The sequence below is a fragment of the Homo sapiens genome, chromosome 1, assembly GCF_000001405.40.
Source record: "Homo sapiens chromosome 1, GRCh38.p14 Primary Assembly".
Taxonomy (NCBI): domain Eukaryota; kingdom Metazoa; phylum Chordata; class Mammalia; order Primates; family Hominidae; genus Homo; species Homo sapiens.
The window spans coordinates 85,633,496-85,655,412 of record NC_000001.11 but is presented as its reverse complement, the minus strand read 5'-3'; the positions used below and the strand labels follow the sequence as shown (position 1 = coordinate 85,655,412).

The following is a 21,917-nucleotide window of genomic DNA, read 5'->3' as shown; positions in this document are numbered from 1 at the left end:
AAATACCTGGCATAGCAGCTACTCATATATCAGTCTCTTATTGGGCCAGTAAATCTTTCATCCATTCTCCCTCGCTCACCTTTCCTCATTCTTCCTTACTTCTCTTTTCTTTCTTTTCCTTTTGCAGGGAGAGAGAGGAGGATTTTTGGCACTGGAACACGCATGTAAAACTTATTATACAATAGATGCTAAAATAGAGTTTACCTGAAGTACAGAGACAGCCAGAGAAGGAAAAAAACTTTTAATATCATGGAGGCACTGGATGGACTGCTAAAGTTCATAAAATTTCACAAAGATTGGGATGATATCTTGGATGGAACTTATTTCAGTGCCTTACTCTTAGAAAGGGCTCAGTAAACACCATTGTGGTTGCTGGTACAATCTGAAGTCTAGGTACAACAGCAAACCCCAGGGAACTTGTCAGTTGGAATATGAGGCAGTTCCAGGTGTGTGCTTCTAGCATCAGCTTTTATAAGCTGTGGTCCCTTGAGCATTTGCTCTGCCTCTCTGAGCTTTATTTTTCTTATCTACTCAGTGGAGATAACAGCTATAAGCCTCAAAATAACCTATATTTTAGCATGACAATTTTTAAAGAGTTACTACCTATTATTTCCTTTTAGCTTCACAAGACCATGAAATAGAACACTTACTCCGGTTCCCATTTTGCAGATTTAGGGAAAAAACACTAAAAGGCAGAATGATTTGCAGTTACATTGATTCAGCAAACATACTCTAAATTGTGAGGATAGATACAGAGAAGAAAGGTCGAGTTTCTGTCCTCCAGGAACTCTCAGTTTAGTGAGTGAGTCATAGTTAGTCTTGCTTGCTCTAAGCAAGACAGGGGTGTCAGAGGAGCTCCATTTCTATTCTTCTTTCCTGTGAAAGGAAGGAGATGGCGATTAGCTAGTCTTCTGTCACTCCACATTCACTCAACATATACTGACCCTCAATTAAGTTTAAAAAAAAATCATGGAAAAAATTTATTCTAACCACAAGTGGCTGGCCAGGATAATAGTGATCTATTCAGTGGCATGAATATGGATCATAACCACATTGTGAAGTGACCATTCCTAAGTCTTCCACAGAGTCAGGAAGGATGTTACCTCACAAAATATAATTGCCACTTTCAGACATCATTTCTCTATTTATTGTGGCCAGAATTGTATATCCTAGCTGCCTGGGACATGACGCGGTTTGTGTGTCCCTGTGAGCAGTGCTTTTGCTGTACATCAGAAGGAGGGAGAGAAGAGGGACAGAGCAACCTAAACAGAAAAATATAAACACTTGACTGTATGTTTACTTATTTTTTTCTAGTGAAGAGTGAATCTACCAAGAACGTTGGCAATGAAAATTGAGCATTTTTTCTGGAAGAAGAAAGTGAAAACTTCCAGACAACTGCAGCAGACTCTGCATTGATGGGCTGTTGGCTGATTGGGGTATTGTCAATGGGTGATTGGAATTTTTTCTTTGTATGAAAAATAAGCTTAACTCTTTTAAAAAATGTATTTTATAACCTCTTGAATTAATTGACTTGTAAGACCCATTTATTCATATTAAGAACTCTCCTTTGCACTTGATCAGCATAGTACTTATTAGGCCCTGGCTTTTTAATATGCTTAATTGCTTAATTCCATAAACTGAAAACTTTTTTTTTCTTTTTTCTTTCTTTTTTTGAGATGGGGTCTTGGAGTGCAAGTGGTATGAGCATAGCTTCCTCAAATTCCTGGGCTCGAATGGTCCTCTCACTGCAGCCTCCCAACAGGCTGGTACCACCACACTCAGCTAAGTTTTTTGTTGTTGTTTTTTTTTGGTAGAGACAGGGTTGCGCTCTTTCGCCCAGGCTGGTCTCAAATTTGTGGCCTCAAGCAATCCTTCCACCTCAGACTCCAAAGCATTGGGATTACAGGCATCAGCCACCACACCTGGCCTTGAACATTTTTTATTTGTTAATTTCATGCGTGACGAAACCCAAGGATCACCCATGTCAACCACAAAGTTGGCATTCCCTTTAGTAGAACCTCACTAAACGGAAAGGCTGTACAACGCACCGTCTAGCCACAGGAGAACTAATCTTCTATCAGTTGCCCTTTCTTCTTTGGAGTTTTTATGTAACTTACCCTTGTGAGACAAGTTTTCTACTTGAGAAACTCCTAGTACAATGTCTTATACTAGAAGCCTGGATAAATACTATTAACTACTGTTTCTTATATTCACTTCAGAAAATCAGTGGCTCCACATTGTTTGAGCCATTAGTGATAACAAATTTGGATCTACTTACTCAAGTCTTATGAATTCTGTGCCTTTCATCACATTCCTAGCCCACTCTCATCATTACTGCAGAAGGGTGTTGTGATGACCAGTTTTATACTGTGTTTTGATATGTCTAGCAATAACTTAAAGAAAAAAAAACCTGGGAAATCTTCAACATGTTATTGGAACATATATGTATGTATTAATGTATATACATGGCTTAACTTATACGTTATGGCAGCTCTGTATACAGTTTGATCTCATGTACTGAAAAAAAATTCTTAATTTTATTGGAGTTTATACCACTGTGAAACTGCAATATGACTGTAAGAGAGTAAAAAGATTGTTACATCTATATTGTATGTGTGTACTTAATGGTTAAAAAGCAATGATAAAACTGGACATTAATGAAATTGATTTTTAGTTACAGTTGGAATAAGTTTTTTACCAAAAAGAAACCAGAGACGTTAGTTAAGGAGACTTAAAAAGATCTGAAATATGAAAAGAGAATGAGAAGATGAGCAGAAGATAAATTTGTGGGACACAAGTATAACTTGGGGTAGAAACTGGAGAAGAGAATCGAAAAACAATAATGCCAGAAGGACCCTTGGTATGAAAGTACTAATGGAATGTGATTCATAGAAAGTTCATAGAAAGTGAGTCCTTGCAACTTGAGAAACATACATACATATATATTTATAATCTCTAAAGCAACATCAGGAATCTTCTAATATATGATAAAGAATTTGTGTAGAATTACGTTGTTCACAGTATTATTGGAGAGACAAATAAGATTTCAAGGAATTCATTTATAATCAAAAGTGAAATGTGTCTTCTTGAAACCAGCAAGAAATAGATGAATTGAGTGAAACGTGTTGTTATTAGGAGAAGTGGGATAACGTATACAAAAAGAACTTGCGATCTGAATATGATCTGAATATGAGGGTGGATAGGAATTTTTTGACAGTGAAATCTGTTATGATGTAGTCTCATTTCCAAGAAAAGTCTTGAGTTCCATCCCCCCTTCTGAATTTAAATTGAAACCTGGACAGAAAACAAACTATCCTGTAGTTTCCACTGCTCAGGAGGAAAAAAAGAAATCTATATTATCTAATGCATCTTTGCCATCTTTATTTTCTAGAATTCTATTAGACTTTTCAATTATAGGCTATTAGGAAAGAATATAACTCTTAGAATTCCCCTAAATATAATTATCAACTCATTTGATTAATATGCATATTTTTTCCCGTAAGATTTACAATACACGTGTGTTTTAGTGAATTACCAATGGCTTGGAGAGAATGAAATTGGAATAACTAACTGAAAACCCTAGATGTTTGTAGCATTGAGACCCAATATCTTTTTGGAGGCCCTCTCCATGTTAGCTTATTGTCAAATTCTGGTGTGTAAACAAACTCCTTGACCCATGTTAAGTTCAGCATCCTGCATTTTGTTCATGAATCACATTTTAAAAGGAGAAAAGCTCCACCTGGTTTTCTTTATTTTTTTAAACAGTGATTTCAAAGAGAAGATAGGCCTTTCATAATTGCTAATTATACATATAGGATTAATAGTCATAAATTATAGTAAATAAAACTTGTACCTATTCCTTTTATAAATATGAATTGGCTAGGCACAGTGGCTCACAGCTGTAATCCCAGCACTTTGGGAGGCTGAGGCGGGCAGATCACAAGGTCAGGTGTTTGAGACTAGCCTGGCCAACATGGCAAAACCCTGTGTCTACTAAAAATACAAAAATTAGCCAGGCGTGGTGGCAGGCACCTGTAATTCCAGCTACTCAGGAAGCTGGGGCACGAGAATCACTTGAACCCTGGTGGCAGAGTTTGCAGTGAGCTGAGATTGTTCCACTGCATTCCTGGGCACTGCCTGGGTGACAGAATGAGACTCTGCCTCAAAAAAAAAAAAAGTTATTAAAAATAGATATTTAAGATTCCAAAATGTAGTTGATCCAGTTTGTTTCCCTGTAGCAAGTAGTGGGATTTGGGTTTCATGACATATAATTAAAATGTTAATCACATAACTATAATGCCAACAATTTTCTTTATACATTTTTGTTTAATTATGTTGACATATACTTTGTGTTGTACCTTATTTCATGTTACTAAATTTTACATAAAGATGCTGGTCTATTTTTATTTAATCATATACTGTTATGGTTTGAATATAGTTTGTTCCTACCAAAACTCATGTTGAAATTAGATTCCCCATGTGCTAGTGTTGGGAGGCAGAGCCTAATGGAAGGTGTTTGGGTCATGGGGGCAGATAGATCCCACATGAATAAACTAATGCCCTCCTACTGGGGTGAGTGAGTTCTCATTCTTGCTGTCGTGGGAATGGATTAGTTCTCACAAGCAAGGGTTACTAAAGAGTCTGGCTTTCTTGATTTTCTCCTTTTTGCCTCCTGCCTTCCCATGTGATCTCTTTGCACATACCTACTCCCCTTTCACTTTGTACCAAGAGTGGAAGCAACATGAGACCCTCACCAGATACAGCTGCCCAATCTTGAGCCTTCCAGCCACCAGAATCATGAGCCAAATAAAACTCTTTTTAAAAATAAGTTACCCAGTCTTAGATATTCTATTATAGCGACACAAAATGGACTAAGCTGTACTCTGTTGCATTAAAATGTGTTGTTTATATGCAAGTGACAAAAACTCAAAATAGTGTCAGCATGAAGGGCAGTTCATTGGCTTATATACAGGGAAGTCCAGGCAATGACTGGGTCCTGGGTCCAAACGTCAAAAGCAGTCATCTTGCCATCCTACACACTTGGCTCTGATTATTTTCTTCTTTATGGATTGGTTTTCTTTTCAGATTTTCCCTTTGGGGATATTCTGTATGGGATGAGGAACAGTGAGGTGAGAGGATGGTGGATAACAGCAATTGACATTTTCAGCTTACCTTAGCATAACAAGGCTGAAAGCTTTTATAAAGCAAGCTATGTAAAATTTTGGAGAAGTACTTTTATTTTGCCCAGATTGGATCACATTCCGTTCCTGAGCTAATCAAGAGAGGAATTCACCCAAAGGAGGGGGAAATTTTTAGAAGAAAGCCAGAATGTAGGGAGCAGGTGAGGAAAGGTAGTTACTGGGAATACGAAAGTAACACATTCATTGCACCCTGTTTGAATTTGAGTAGCAAGAAGTTTCTGATTTGTACTAACAGAAGGAGTAAAGTTCAGATTTAATCTGCAAGTCTTGATTGTTTTTAACTAGAGATTTTAATCTCTTCTTCTTATTATTGCTGCTTTGAGTTGCCATTATAGGTTTTTGGATTTTTTTTTTAATGCCATCCATTTTTATTTGACATCATGTTGTTGCTAGTTTGAGCAGATGCACATAGCATATGTTTCCATTACCAATTTGGAAATTTTTCCCAGTGGCATCAGCATTTGAGAGATACTGATTTTGAAATTAGAGTACTAGGGGAAAATGCTTCAAAAATGAAGACTACTTAAATAAAAATTGGCTTTAAATAAACCTTTGGGGATCTGTACTTGACTAAAAAGTATTTTCTTTAAACTTTGGTCTTTGAAAACTAAAGTGTGTGTGCATGTGTTCATTAAAATGACCTATAACATGAACATTTTCCATACTGGAGTGTGATGTACTGTACTCATTTTGAACTTTAGAACCAAATGCATCCTTTAGCATTTGATGAGCTGCTATATAATTCTATTTCCAGTTTTATTTTCTTGCCAAATAAAGTACCAAAGCTCAGCCTGATATTTGGTAACCCCTGACTTGGTCCCAACCTAATTTTACAGCTTGCTTACTCTCTCATTCACTCTCCTTTTCAAACTGCTTCAGTCACATAAAACATCAAGGACCAATTTCATTCTGCATGTGGGTATACAGTTTTCCCAGCATCATTTATTGAAGAGATTATTTTTTCCTCATTATGTCTTGGTAGCCTTGTCAAAGATAGTTGCATGGGTTTATTTCTGGGATCTAATCTGTTCCTTTGGTCTATGTGTCTTTTTATGGAGAACAATGCTGTTTTGATTACTATAGCTTTGTAATATATTTTGAAGTTGGGTGGTGTGATGCCTTCAGCTTGTTCTTTTTGCTTTGGCCACTCAAGCTCCTTGGTGGTTCCATCAGATTTTAGAATCATCTTTTTCTATTTCTGTGAAAAAAAAAAAAGGCATTGGAATTTTTATTAGGATTACATTGGATCTGTAGATTACTTTGGGTAGTATGGAAATTTTAACAAAATCCTTTCAATTCATGAACATGGTACATCTTTCCATTTATCTGTATCTTCAGCTTCTTGCATCGATGGCTTGTAGGTTTCAGTAAACAGATTTTTCACTTCCTTGATTAAATTTATTTCTAAGTATTCTATTGTTTTTGATATTTCTTTTTCAAACAGTTTATTGTTAGCATGTAGAAACACAACTGATTTTTTTTGCCAGGCGCAGAGGCTTACACCTGTAATCCCAGCACGTTGGGAGGCCGAGGCAGGTGGATCACAAGTTCAGGAGATCGAGACCATCCTGGCTAACATGGTGAAACCCCGTCTCTACTAAAAATACAAAAAATTTGCCAGGCGTGGTAGCAGGTGCCTGTAGTCCCAGGTACTCGGGAGGTTGAGGCAGGAGAATGGCATGAACCTGGGAGGCGGAGCTTGCAGTGAGCCGAGATCATGCCACTGCACTCCAGCCTGGGTGACAGAGTGAGACTCCGTCTCAAAAAAAAAAAAAAAAGAAACAACTGATTTTTGTATATTGATTTTGTATCTTACAACTGTATTGAATGTATTAGTTCTAACAGTTTTTGGTGGAGTCTTTTGGGTTTTCCATATCATGTCACCTGCAAACATACTATTTTGCTTCTTCCTTACTGATTTGAATTCCTTTTATTTTTCTTGACTGATTGCTAAGGCTAGGCCTTCCAGTACTATGTTGAATAGAACTGGTGAGAGTGGGGACCCTTGTCTTGTTCCTGATCCTAGCAAAAAAAGATTTCAGCTTTTCACTGTTGAGTATGGTGTTAGCTATAGCCTTAACACATATGGCCTTTATTATGTTAAGATACATTCCTTTCATACCTAATTTGTTGAGAGTCTTTATCATGAAAGGATGTTGAATTTCGTCACATGCTTTTTCTTTTTTTTTATTTTATTATTATTATACTTACAGTTATAGGGTACATATGCACAATATGCAGGTTAGTTACATATGTATACATGTGCCATGCTGGTGTGCTGCACCCATTAACTTGTCATTTAGCATTAGGTATATCTCCTAAAGCTATCCCTCCCCCCTCCCCCCACCCCACAACAGTCCCCAGAGTGTGATGTTCCCCTTCCTGTGTCCATGTATTCTCATTGTTCAGTTCCCACCTATGAGTGAGAATATGGGGTGTTTGGTTTTTTGTTCTTGCGGTAGTTTACTGAGAATGATGATTTCCAATTTCATCCATGTCCCTACAAAGGACATGAACTCATAATTTTTTATGGCTGCATAGTATTCCATGGTGTATATGTGCCACATTTTCTTAATCCAGTCTATCATTGTTGGACATTTGGGTTGGTTCCAAGTCTTTGCTATTGTGAATAACGCCGCAATAAACATACGTGTGCATGTGTCTTTATAGCAGCATGATTTATAGCCCTTTGGGTATATACCCAGTAATGGGATGGCTGGGTCAAATGGTATTTCTAGTTCTAGATCCCTGAGGAATCACCACACTGACTTCCACAAGGGTTGAACTAGTTTACAGTCCCACCAACAGTGTAAAAGTGTTCCTATTTCTCCACATCCTCTCCAGCACCTGTTGTTTCCTGACTTTTTAATGATCACCATTCTAACTGGTGTGAGATGGTATCTCATTGTGGTTTTGATTTGCATTCCTCTGATGACCAGTGATGATGAGCATTTTGTCATGTGTTTTTTGGCTGCATAAATGTCTTCTTTTGAGAAGTATCTGTTCGTGTCCTTCGTCCACTTTTTGATGGGGTTGTTTGTTTTTTTCTTGTAAATTTGTTTGAGTTCACTGTAGATTCTGGATATTAGCCCTTTGTCAGATGAGTAGGTTGCGAAAATTTTCTCCCATTTTGTAGGTTGCCTGTTCACTCTGATGGTAGTTTCTTTTGCTGTGCAGAAGCTCTTTAGTTTAATTAGATCCCATTTGTCAATTTTGGCTTTTGTTGCCATTGCTTTTGGTGTTTTAGACATGAAGTCCTTGCCCATGCCTATGTCCTGAATGGTAATGCCTAGGTTTTCATCTAGGGTTTTTATGGTTTTAGGTCTAACGTTTAAGTCTTTAATGCCTCTTGAATTAATTTTTGTATAAGGTGTAAGGAAGGGATCCAGTTTCAGCTTTCTACATATGGCTAGCCAGTTTTCCCAGCACCATTTATTAAATAGGGAATCCTTTCCCCATTGCTTGTTTTTCTCAGGTTTGTCAAAGATCGGATAGTTGTAGATATGCGGCATTATTTCTGAGGGCTCTGTTCTGTTCCATTGATCTATATCTCTGTTTTGGTACCAGTACCATGCTGTTTTGGTTACTGTAGCCTTGTAGTATAGTTTGAAGTCAGGTAGCGTGATGCCTCCAGCTTTGTTCTTTTGGCTTAGGATTGACTTGGTGATGCAGGCTCTTTTTTGGTTCCATATGAACTTTAAGGTAGTTTTTTCCAATTCTGTGAAGAAAGTCATTGGTAGCTTGATGGGGATGGCATTGAATCTGTAAATTACCTTGGGCATTATGGCCATTTTCACGATATTGATTCTTCCTACCTATGAGCATGGAATGTTCTTCCATTTGTTTGTATCCTCTTTTATTTCATTGAGCAGTGGTTTGTAGTTCTCCTTGAAGAAGTCCTTCACATCCCTTGTAAGTTGGATTCCTAGGTATTTTATTCTCTTTGAAGCAATTGTGAATGGGAGTTCACTCATTGTTTGGCTCCCTGTTTGTCTGTTATTGGTGTATAAGAATGCTTGTGATTTTTGCACATTGATTTTGTATCCTGAGACTTTGCTGAAGTTGCTTATCAGCTTAAGGAGATTTGGGGCTGAGACAGTGGGGTTTTCTAGATATACAATCATGTCATCTGCAAACAGGGACAATTTGACTTCCTCTTTTCCTAATTGAATACCCTCTTTTCCTAATTGAATACCCTCCTGCCTAATTGCCCTGGCCAGAACTTCCAACACTATGTTGAATAGGAGTGGTGAGAGAGGGCATCCCTGTCTTTTGCCAGTTTTCAAAGGGAATGCTTCCAGTTTTTGCCCATTCAGTATGATATTTGCTGTGGGTTTGTCATAGATAGCTCTTATTATTTTGAGATACATCCCATCAATACCTAATTTATTGAGAGTTTTTAGCATGAAGGGTTGTTGAATTTTGTCAAAGGCCTTTTCTGCATCTATTGAGATAATCATGTGGTTTTTGTCTTTGATTCTGTTTATATGCTGGATTACATTTATTGATTTGCATATATTGAACCAGCCTTGCATCCCAGGGATGAAGCCCACTTGATCATGGTGGATAAGCTTTTTGATGTACTGCTGGATTCGGTTTGCCAGTATTTTATTGAGGATTTTTGCATCAATGTTCATCAAGGATATTGGTCTAAAATTCTCTTTTTTGGTTGTGTCTCTGCCCAGCTTTGGTATCAGGATGATGCTGGCCTCATTAAATGAGTTAGGGAGGATTCCGTCTTTTTCTATTGGTTGGAATAGTTTCAGAAGGAATGGTACCAGTTCCTCCTTGTACCTCTGGTAGAATTCGGCTGTGAGTCCATCTGGTCCTGGCCTCTTTTTGGTTGGTAAGCTATTGATCATTGCCACAATTTTAGAGCCTGTTATTGGTCTATTCAGAGATTCAACTTCTTCCTGGTTTAGTCTTGGGAGGGTGTATGTGTCGAGGAATTTACCCATTTCTTCTAGATTTTCTAGTTTATTTGCGTAGAGGTGTTTGTAGTATTCTCTGATGGTTGTTTGTATTTCTGTGGGATCGGTGGTGATATCCCCTTTATCATTTTTTATTGCGTCTATTTGATTCTTCTCTCTTTTCTTCTTTATTAGTCTTGCTAGCGGTCTATCAATTTTGTTGATCCTTTCAAAAAACCAGCTCCTGGATTCATTAATTTTTTGAAGGGTTTTTTGTGTCTCTATTTCCTTCAGTTCTGCTGTGATTTTAGTTATTTCTTGCCTTCTGCTAGCTTTTGAATGTGTTTGCTCTTGCTTTTCTAGTTCTTTTAATTGTGATGTTAGGGTGTCAATTTTGGATCTTTCCTGCTTTCTCTTCTGGGCATTTAGTGCTATAAATTTCCCTCTACACACTGCTTTGAATGCATCCCAGAGATTCTGGTATGTTGTGTCTTTGTTCTCGTTGGTTTCAAGGAACATCTTTATTTCTGCCTTCATTTCGTCATGTACCCAGTAGTCATTCAGGAGAAGGTTTTTCAGTTTCCATGTAGTTGATCGGTTTTGAGTGAGTTTCTTAAACCTGAGTTCTAGTTTGATTGCACTGTGGTCTGAGAGACAGTTTGTTATAATTTCTGTTCTTTTACATTTGCTGAGGAGAGCTTTACTTCCAACTATGTGGTCAATTTTGGAATAGGTGTGGTGTGGTGCTGAAAAAAATGTATATTCTGTTGATTTGGGGTGGAGAGTTCTGTAGATGTCTATTAGGTCCCCTTGGTGCAGAGCTGAGTTCAATTACTGGGTATCCTTGTTAACTTTCTGTCTCGTTGATCTGTCTAATGTTGACAGTGGGTTGTTAAAGTCTCCCATTATTATTGTGTGGGAGTCTAAGTCTCTTTGTAGGTCACTCAGGACTTGCTTTATGAATCTGGGTGCTCCTGTATTGGGTGCGTATATATTTAGGATAGTTAGCTCTTCTTGTTGAATTGATCCCTTTACCATTATGTAATGGCCTTCTTTGTCTCTTTTGATCTTTGTTAGTTTAAAGTCTGTTTTATCAGAGACTAGGAATGCAACCCCTGCCTTTTTTTGTTTTCCATTTGCTTGGTAGACCTTCCTCCATCCTTTTATTTTGAGCCTATGTGTGTCTCTGCACGTGAGATGGGTTTCCTGAATACAGCACACTGATGGGTCTTGACTCTTTATCCAATTTGCCAGTCTGTGTCTTTTAATTGGAGCATTTAGTCCATTTACATTTAAAGTTAATATTGTTATGTGTGAATTTGATCCTGTCATTATGATGTTAGCTGGTTATTTTGCTCGTTAGTTGATGCAGTTTCTTCCTAGCCTCAATGGTCTTTACAATTTGGCATGATTTTGCAGCGGCTGGTACCAGTTGTTCCTTTCCATGTTTAGTGCGTCCTTCAGGAGCTCTTTTAGGGCAGGCCTGGTGGTGACAAAATCTCTCAGCATTTGCTTGTCTGTAAAGTATTTTATTTCTCCTTCACTTATGAAGCTTAGTTTGGCTGGATATGAAATTCTGGGTTGAAAATTCTTTTCTTTAAGAATGTTGAATATTGGCCCCCACTCTCTTCTGGCTTGTAGAGTTTCTGCCGAGAGATCCGCTGTTAGTCTGATTGGCTTCCCTTTGTGGTTAACCCGACCTTTCTCTCTGGCTGCCCTTAACATTTTTTCCTTTATTTCAACTTTGGTGAATCTGCCAATTATGTGTCTTGGAGTTGCTCTTCTCAAGGAGTATCTTTGTGGCGTTCTCTGTATTTCCTGAATCTGAATGTTGGCCTGCCTTGCTAGATTGGGGAAGTTCTCCTGGATAATATCCTGCAGAGTGTTTTCCAACGTGGTTCCATTCTCCACGTCACTTTCAAGTACACCAATCAGATGTAGATTTGGTCTTTTCGCATAGTCCTATATTTCTTGGAGGCTTTATTAGTTTCTTTTTATTCTTTTTTCTCTAAACTTCCCTTCTCGCTTCATTTCATTCATTTCATCTTCCATCACTGATACCCTTTCTTCCAGTTGATCGCATGGGCTCCTGAGGCTTCTGCGTTCTTCACGTAGTTCTCGAGCCTTGGCTTTCAGCTCCATCAGCTCCTTTAAGCACCTCTCTGTATTGGTTATTCTAGTTATACATTCGTCTAAATTTTTTTCAAAGTTTTCAACTTCTTTGCCTTTGGTTTGAATTTCCTCCTGTAGCTTGGAGTAGTTTTATCGTCTGAAGCCTTCTTCTCTCAACTCATCAGTCATTCTCCGTCCAGCTTTGTTCCGTTGCTGGTAAGGAGCTGCGTTCCTTTGGAGGAGGAGAGGCACTCTGCTTTTTAGAGTTTCCAGTTTTTCTGTTCTGTTTTTTCCCCATCTTTGTGGTTTTATCTACTTTTGGTCTTTGATGATGGTGATGTACAGATGGGTTTTTGGTGTGGATGTCCTTTCTGTTTGTTAGTTTTCCTTCTAACAGACAGGACCCTCAGCTGCAGGTCTGCTGGAGTTTGCTAGAGGTCCACTCCAGACCCTGTTTGCCTGGGTACTAGCAGCGGTGGCTGCAGAACAGTGGATTTTCGTGAACCATCAATGCTGCTGTCTGATCGTTCCTCTGGAAGTTTTGTCTCAGAGGAGTACCCAGCCGTGTGAGGTGTCAGTCTGCCTTTACTGGGGGGTGCCTCCCAGTTAGGCTGCTCAGTGGTCAGGGGTCAGGGACCCACTTGAGGAGGCAGTCTGCCTGTTCTCAGATCTCCAGCTGCGTGCTGGGAGAACCACTGCTCTCTTCAAAGCTGTCAGACAGGGACATTTAAGTCTGCAGAGGTTACTGCTGTCTGTTTGTTTGTCTGTGCCCTGCCCCCAGAGGTGGAGCCTACAGAGGCCGTCATGCCTCCTTGAGCTGTGGTGGGCTCCACCCAGTTCGAGCTTCCCGGCTGCTTTGTTTACCTAAGTGAGCCTGGGCAATGGCGCCCCTCCCCAACCTCACTGCCGCCCTGCAGTTTGATCTCAGACTGCTGTGCTAGCAATCAGTGAGACTCCGTGGGCATAGGACTCTCCGAGCCAGGTGTGGGATGTAATCTCCTGGTGTGCCGTTTTTTAAGCCCGTAGGAAAAGTGCAGTATTAGGGTGGGAGTGACCCGATTTTCCAGGTGCCGTCTGTCACCCCTTTCATTGACTAGGAAAGGGAACTCCCTGACCCCTTGCGCTTCCCAAGTGAGGCAATGCCTCGCCCTGCTTCCGCTCACGCACAGTGCGCTGCACCCACTGTCCTGCACTCACTGTCTGGCACTCCCTAGTGAGATGAACCCAGTACCTCAGATGGAAATGCAGAAATCACCCGTCTTCTGCGTCGCTCACGCTGGGAGCTGTAGACCGGAGCTGTTCCTATTCGGCCATCTTGGCTCCAGCCTGTCACATGCTTTTTCTGCATCTGTTGAGATGATCATATGATTTTTATCCTTCATTCTGTTAATGTGGTGTATCACATGTATTGATTTGCATGTGGCACCATCTTTGTATCCCAGGGATAAGTTGCACTTAGTCATGGTATATGATCCTTTCAATGTGCTGCTAAATTCAGTTTGCTAGTATTTTGTTGAGAATTTTTGTATCTAAGTTCGACAGGGATATTGGCCTTTGAATTTTTTGTTTTAGTGTTCTTACCTAGCTTTGCTATCAGGGTAATACTCTTCTCATAAAATAAGATACAAAAATAAGAATTTTTGTGTCTAGGTTCAACAGGGATATTGGCCTTTAATTTTTTCTTTTAGTGCTTTTATCTAGCTTTGCTGTCAGGGTAATACTTTTCTCATAAAATAAGTTTGGAAGTGTTTCCTCTTCAATTTTTTGGATGAGTTTGAGAAGAATTGGTATGAATTCTTCTTTAATTATTTGGTAGAATTCAGTGAAGTCATCTGGTCCTTGGCTTTTCTTTGTTGGAAAGTTTTATTACTGGGTCAGTCTCCTTACCTGCATTGGTCTGTTTCTGTTTTCCATTTCATGATTCAGTCTTGTTAGGTTATATGTTTCTAGAAATTTATCCATTTCTTCTAAGTTATGCAATTTGTTGCTGTATAATTGATCATAGTATTTTCTTATGATTCTTTGTATTTCTTTAGTATTAGTTGTAGTATCTCTTCTTTCATTTATGATTTTATTTATTTGAGTCCTCTTTTTTCCTTGGTTAGTCTTGCTAAAGAGTTTGTCAATTTCATTTATCTTATTAAAAAAACTGTAGGTTTTTTTTCTCTTTTGCTAAACTGCTGTAATCTTTATTATTTCCTTCCATCTGCTAACTTTGGGCTTATTTTGTTCTTTTTCTAGTTCCTCGAGATTTAAAGTTAGGTTGTTGGAAGTTTTTTGTTTTTGTTTTTGTTTTTTTGGTTTGTTTGTTTTTTTATGCTGTTAACCATGAGGTGTTCTCATCTCATTCTTAATGTAGGTATTTATCATTATAAACTTTCTGCTTAGAACTTATTTTGCCACATCCCATACATTTTGGTATGTAGTATTTCCATTTTTGTTTTTGTGAAGTTTTTATATTTTCCTTTTGATTTTTTTCTTTGATCCATTGTTTGCCTCAGGAGTGTGTTGTTTGATTTTCACATATTTGTGAATTTTCCAATTTTTCCTCCTGTTACTGATTTCTACTTTTATATTGTTATGGTTGAAAAAGATATTCGATGTGATTCTAGTCTTTTTGAATTTGTTAAGACTTCTTTTGTGGCCTAACATATCTGTTCTGGAGAATGTTTCATATGCACTTAAGAAGAATGTGTATTTTACTGCCGTTAGATGGAATGTTCTGTATGTCTGTTATACAGGTCCTTTTGGTCTATAATGTTGTCCAAGTCTGCTGTTTTCTTATTGATTATCTGGATGATCTCTCTGTTATTGAGGCAGGGTGGGCTGCTAAAGTACCCTATTATTCTATTGCTCTTTATTTCTCTTCATTCTGTTAATATTTGCTTTATATATTTAGGTTTTCTGATGTCCTGTGTTTAAAATTGTTATATTTTCTGGCCGGGCGCGGTGGCTCATGCCTATAATCTCAGCACTTTGGAATACCTGGGTGGGCAGTTCACTTGAGGTCAGGAGTTCATGACCAGCCAGGTCAACATGGTGAAATCCTGTCTCTAGCAAAAATACAAAAATTAGGCCGGGTTCAGTGGCTCACGCCTGTAATCCCAGCACTTTGGCAGGCCGAAGCAGGTAGATCACCTGAGATCAGCCTGGCCAACATTGTGAAACCCTGTCTCTACTAAAAATACAAAAAATTAGCTGGGCATGGTGGTGGGTGCCTGTAATCCCAGCTACTTGGAGGCTGAGACAGGAGAATCGCTTGAACTCAGGAGGCAGAGGTTGCAATGAGCCAAGATTGCGCCACTGCACTCCAGCCTAGGCAACAAGAGCTAAACTCCATCTCAAAAAAAAAAAAATACAAAAATTAGCCAAGCGTGGTGGCACATGCTTGTAATCCCAGCTACTTGGGAGGCTGAAGCATGAGAATCTCTTGAACCCAGGAAGCAGAGGTTGCAATGAGCCAAGATTGCACCAGTGAATTCCAGCCTAGGCAACAGAGCAAGACTCTGTCTCAAAAATATAAAATATAAAAAATAAAATAAAATTGTTCTATTTTCTTCCTGTCAACCCCTTTAATCACTATATAATGACCTTCATTTTTCTCTTGATAATTTTTGAGCTAAAGCCTATTTTGTCTGATACAAGTAATAACCATCCCTACTCTCTTTGGTTACCATTTCCAAGAAATGTCTTTCCATCCCTTCACTTTTGGCCTATGTGTTTCTTTAAAGCTAAAGTGAGTCTCTTGTAAGCAGCATGTGGTTGCATCTTGTTTTCTTATCATTCAACCATTCTGTCTTTTGATTGGAGAATTTAACCCATGTATGTTTAAAGTAATTATTGATAGGTAAGGACTTAATATTGCCATTTTAATTGTTTTCTTACTGTTGTGTAACTCCTTTGTTCATTGCTTTCTCTCTTGCTGTCTTTGTGACTTGATGATTTTTGTGGTGGTATGCTTTGATTCCTTTCTTTTAGTCTTTTTGGCATCTACTACACAATTTTTTCTTTGTGATTACCATGAAGTTTACATAAAACATCTTATGGTTATAACAAACTATTATAAGCCTATAATAACTTCAATTGCATACCAAAAGAATCTGTACTTATACTCACCATCCCCCCTTCCACATTTTAGGTTACTGGTGTTACAATTTACATTTTAAAAATATTGTATATCTGTTAACAAATTATTATAGTTACAGTTGTTTTAATATGTTTATCTTTTAACTTTATACTGAGATGAAAGTGATTTACATGTCACATCAAATTTACCAATATTAGAGAATTCTAAATTTGACTATATATTACCTTTACTGGTGAGTTTTATAGATTCATGTTTTTACATTGCTAATTAGTGTCCATCCTTTCATTTCAGCTTGAAGAACTTTCTTTGGCATTTCATGTAAGGCAGGTCTAGTGCTAACCAACTCCCTCAGCTTTTGTTTGTGTGGGAAAATCTTTCTTCTTCATTTCTGAGGTACAGCTTTGCTAAGTATTCTTGGTTGGTGGTTGTTTTTTTTATTATTTTGAATGTATCCCACTCTCTTTTGACCTGCCACGTTTGTGCTGAGAAATCTGTTTATAGTCTTATGAGGGCTTTCTTGTATGTGATGAGTTACTTTGCAGTTTTGAAAATGCTTTGTGTTTGGCTTTTGGCAATTATGTGTCTCTAAGTAGGCCTTTTGAGGTTCAACCTATTTGGGGACTTTTGAGATTCATGAATCTGGAAGTTCAATTCTCTCCCAAAATTTGGGGAGTTTTCAGTCATTATTTCTTTAAATAGACTTTCTGTTCCATTCTCTCTTCTTCTTCTGGAACCTCTGTAATGCATACATTGTTTTGCTTGATGGTGTTTGATTAAGTCCCTTATCCTTTCTTCTCTCTTTTTCATTCTTTTTTTCTTTTTTCTCCTGTGACTGGATAGTTTCAAATAACCTGTTTTCAGGTTAACTGATTCTTCTACTTGATCTGGTCTACTAGTGAAGCTCTCTATTGAATTTCTCAGTTCAGTCATTGTATTCTTCACCTCTAGGATTTCTGTTAGGTTTTTTAAAATTATTATTTATATTTCTTTATTGAATTTTGTTCTTGTGTTGCTTTCCTACTTTTATTTAGTAGTTTATCTGTGTTTTCTTATAGTTCACTGAACTTTAAGAGGATTATTCTTAGTTCTTTGTCAGTTTGTAGATCTCCATTTTTTTAGAGTCAGTTGTTAGAGCTTTATTAGTTTCCTTTGGTAGTATCATGTTTCCTTCATCCTTCATGATCCTTGTATCTTTTTATTGAAGTCTGTGTGTCAGATGTAGTGGTCACCTCATCCAGCCTTCATAGGTTTGCTTCTTCAGAGAAAGACCTACACCAGTCACCCCAGCTTGGGGTTTTGGATGGGCCAGCTGGTAGCATCTGCAGGTAAAATGGCACTTACTGCTGCAGTGTCTAGTCAGCCAAGGCCACTGCCCATGCTTTGAGGCCAGGTAGGGCTGCTGACTGGGTTCCACAATTGCCTGTTCTTGTGTGGGATTACAGGCTGTGCTCCCTGGACAGGTGGTGCTGCTAGCTGGGCTCTTATGATTGAGTGGGGCTGTGGGCTATGCTTCACAGTTGGGTAGGAACACAGGCTGGGTTCCATAATTAGGTGGGGCCACATGCTGTGCCTTGCAGTTGGGCATGGTCACCAGCTGGGTTCCCCACCTACCTAGGCACGATGATTGGATGTGTTCCTGGTGGGGCAAGGTTGCTGGCTAGGCTCCCTGGTTAAGCAGGGCCCACTTCTTTCTCACCTCATGGGAAGCACCCTGGAATGCTGGGAAAGCTGAATGTCAGCCTTTGGATTTTTTTCACACCAGAGAAACTGTAGGCATACGGGTTCCCTCTCTGTGGTGATGTGCCAGCCTGGGAGAGGGGCAGTGTTGTCAAAGTAAAATTACTCCTCTTATTCTTCTAATGCTCTGTTTTCTTGATTTTTATGCTCCAGGAAGGTGCTTCATCTTCACCCTCAGGTTCTGGGATTTTCACAAAGGCAATCTTGTCTGAATAGTTACTAATCAGGATTTTGGCATGGGAGACTAGAGCCAGGGACCTCCATTCTGCCATCTTGCTGATGTTATCTGGTGCTTCAGTTCTCAATGAAGTGTTCCACCACTGTCTCTTGAGATTTTATTCTAAGTTATTGCCATCCATTTAGCAAGTCCTGATGCTGGTGTTTCCTTAGTCAGATGGTATTAATAGAAGGGTTTAGGTCAGCCATCAGGACAAGGTTTGTGGACTGAAATTTTGAAGAGTTGGAGTTGTCCAGTTGTGCCACCAGAAATAGCCACCAGTTCTTCACATAGGCCCAAGCAATGTCAACTACGTCATGACTGTGGACTGGCCAACAGCAATTTTAAGACTCCAAAGATTTTAAAGATGTTAAATTGGGAGCTCTAGAGTCAACTAGGTACAATACCATCATACCCATTTTATATGGGTAAAGAAACAGGTCCAAAATGATTAAAGTATGTGTTCAAGGTCACATGGAAAGTAATCAGTAAGCCAGGATTTAAACCTAGGTAAATTGGGCTTCAGGGGTCGTAAAGAAATACCTAATAAGGAGGTACCTGAGACTGGGTAATTTAAAAAGAAAAGAGGTGTAATTGGCTCACAGTTCCGCAGGCTGTACAGGAAGCATGATGCTGACATCTGCTTGGCCTCTGGGTAGGCCTCAGGAAACTTTCAATCATGGCAGAAGGCGAAGGAGAAGCAGGCTCATCATGCGTGGCCAGAGCAGGAGCAAGGGGCGCTGGGGGTGGAGGTGCTACACACTTTTAAACAACCAGATCTTATGAGATTCACTGTCATGAGAACAGCCCCAAGAGATGGTACTAAACCGTTCATGAAAGACCACTCCCATGATCCAATCACCTACCACTAAGCCCCACCTCCATCATTGGGGATTACATCTCGACATGAGATTTGGTAGGGAGACAGATCCAAACCATATCAAGACCTTAATCGTTAGGCTGCATGGCCTCCTGGGTGGGCTCTATCCCAGTCATTAGGCCATCCTGAATTCATATTGTTTTTGTGATAATTTGAGTGGATGCCATAGTTTACTGCCATTTAAAATTGAAATAATTATTTTAATATTCTAACTTTTTGTAAAAGGGTGGTTTCTTCATAATTTGTGAAGTTGCTTTTCTTAGAGGCTTTTCTCTTCAGTGGTGGACAGCAGGCTGTTTCTCCTAGCATGTTTAGCTCCTGTCTTGAATCTTTTATGCATTTTACATACTTTGGTGGTTTGGGCATAACAGCTTCAATCACTTACTTCAATTAGTTTGAAACCAACTGATAATGCTAACACGAGTGTCTTTCAGTGGGTTCCAGGATATTAGTATCAAGTTTGTTTCATTGTCCATTGTGAGTTATGCACTGCTGAATTGAGTACTCCTCAAAGCTGTTGCAGCAGACTTCAGGTAACATAGCTATCCAGGATTACCTGGTGAAGGGGGCCCACATGGAAAGGATATGAGGATGCAAAGACCACTGTTAATGACTATCACGTTGACATTATATTGAGCTGCAGTAAGAACATGTGTTTGGCATGCTGGTGAATTCACCTGTAGTTGTTGGGCAGGACAAATTTAGGGAGTCTAGCTCGGGGGGTGAGTTACGATAACCACATGAGAAGTATAATTTCTTACTGGAAATAAGACCTGTTGGAAATCTTGGGCATACCCTCATAAATGGAAATGGAGTGGTTGGAGAACATCCATGAAAACACCAAAGCAGACAAATTAAAGGCCTTGAAAAATGTGAGCCTTAAGTTCATGGGATAGAAGCAAGTGTTCATGCTCTGAACTATACAACAAAGGAGAAGTAAACTGGGCCATGTAATTGTTTAAAAAGGAAGTTGCCTGTCTCCCTCAGGTAGTACGGAGACTATCAAGTAATGGTTTCATTTTTTATTTCAGAAAATTTTACTCATCCCAAGTTTCTGCTAAGCACTCTGGGTTATTTTTACTGTGAGAAGAGATTGTCACACACCACCTCTTGGTATCACAATTTCTTTTGGCTTCTTCAACAGTTGATTCTAGTTAAAGTCCATATGGTATGAATCTCTGGTGCAAAGACAGTCCCTAAAGCCCAATAACTTCCAATTTTTCCTAGAGCCCTGTGGTCCTACACTTGACTGTGCCGTTCTGTGTTCCTAAAGAAAAACAGTAGAGGCTTGAAGTATTGGTGGTTGGTTAACCAGATGCTGTGATGCTGTGCTTTTAGGGCTTTTGCCAACAAAAAAGAGACAGCAACTTTTTCCATGTTCCTGACAGATTGGAAGGTGTTTTTCAAATTCTCTGCTTCAGATCTTTCCCTGGAAAGGTTGGTCAGTTGTTCAGCCAACATCCTTGGCCTCTGTAGCTAATGCAGTTTGGAAGCCTGTAAATAGTTTCTGCCACTTTTGGACCCTCACAAACAAAACTTCCAAGCACGGGAAATGGAAAGCTTGAGGTGATGAGGAAAGCCAAGTGAGAGTGGGCATCCAGTCTTTCAGATGATGGACTCTGTAAGAAGGAAGCTACTGTTTGCAGCTGACCTGTGTGTGGACCAAAGGGAGAGAACGATCCAGATGTTCTTTTCTCACTTTTCTAAGTGGCAAGGAGAGCATCTGTAAGGATTGGTTTGATGTCTTATTTTTTAAGCTATCAAATTCTCCTTTCCCCTGACCAATATATATGTTCCTGAGGAATGTGATGGAAAACAAGTTAATTCTTAGCTACTTTAGCCCATCAAAAAGTACTTTATTTAAAATCCTGTAACTTAGCTCACCCAAAAATACTTTATAATATTCTGTACTTTATAATATTCTCTTTACATCCCATTTGTAGAACTTGGCCTTGTGGCCACACTTACTTGCAAGGGAATGGAAAGAACTCTATTCTGCATAGCAATGTGCCTAACTAAAAAATGTGGATCTTCTTACTAAGGGGGAGTATTAAATGCTTATTGTAGGACAAGTAATAGTCTTTACCACAGTTGGCCATTGGCAGTTGTTATTTTGTAGCAGTATAATGGTTGGTTATTCTACTGTCTAATGTATAATTAGTGCCTTCAACCCATATGCCTCCTAGGCTGCAGCACTAAGGGACTTGGACAAAACATTCAAACCATAGGAACATATTGGTTACAGTATGAAGCCTTTGTAAATCTTGCAAGAGACTGGTTTACTTTGAAACTGAAGCCTGTAAAATCCAAAAAAGAATGAAATCAAGTTTGCTATGAGAAGCACTTTCCTCCTGTATCCTACAATCCAAGTTGACTGAGAGCAGTGATCTGAATCTTTGACTGGATGGAAAAGCCATATTCCTTCCTAAAGTTAAGTTAATTTGAGTAAAAGAGGGAGAAGGGAGAAGTGCAGTAAGGCAAGATGGGCGCCTGGGATAAGTGTGATTTCCCCCAGGTCTCTTCTGTAATCCTCTTGTTATACCCTTCTACCCTGTCAAATGGGACATCCATGCCCCTTGAAAAGATGCAGCTGGCCTGTAGCCTTCCAGCAAAGGGAAAGCAGCTGTTCCTCCCCTCTCCAGCTTTTTGTTTTGTATTGACCTGAAACAGAGGCCACTATGGAGCCATTAATTAATAGCCATCTGAAACCTGTATTGTAGATAATAATTTTAAAATAAAATCAAGTAGATCTCTAACTTTTATTACCAACCCG

At 39.1% G+C, this 21,917-nt stretch overlaps 1 protein-coding gene across 3 annotated transcripts in view; it reads left to right on the top strand.

The window, feature by feature from the left end:
• ZNHIT6 (zinc finger HIT-type containing 6) overlaps window positions 1–5,996 on the top strand; it is a 59,017-nt gene extending 53,021 nt beyond the window's left edge. For all 3 annotated transcript variants that reach the window (NM_001170670.2, XM_024447736.2, NM_017953.4), the window contains one exon: window positions 1,315–5,996. In NM_001170670.2, the coding sequence (NP_001164141.1) occupies window positions 1,315–1,355 (41 nt within the window). In that variant the 3' untranslated portion in view covers window positions 1,356–5,996. The remainder of the gene's footprint in view (window positions 1–1,314) is intronic.
• Window positions 5,997–21,917: the final 15,921 nt, after the last annotated feature.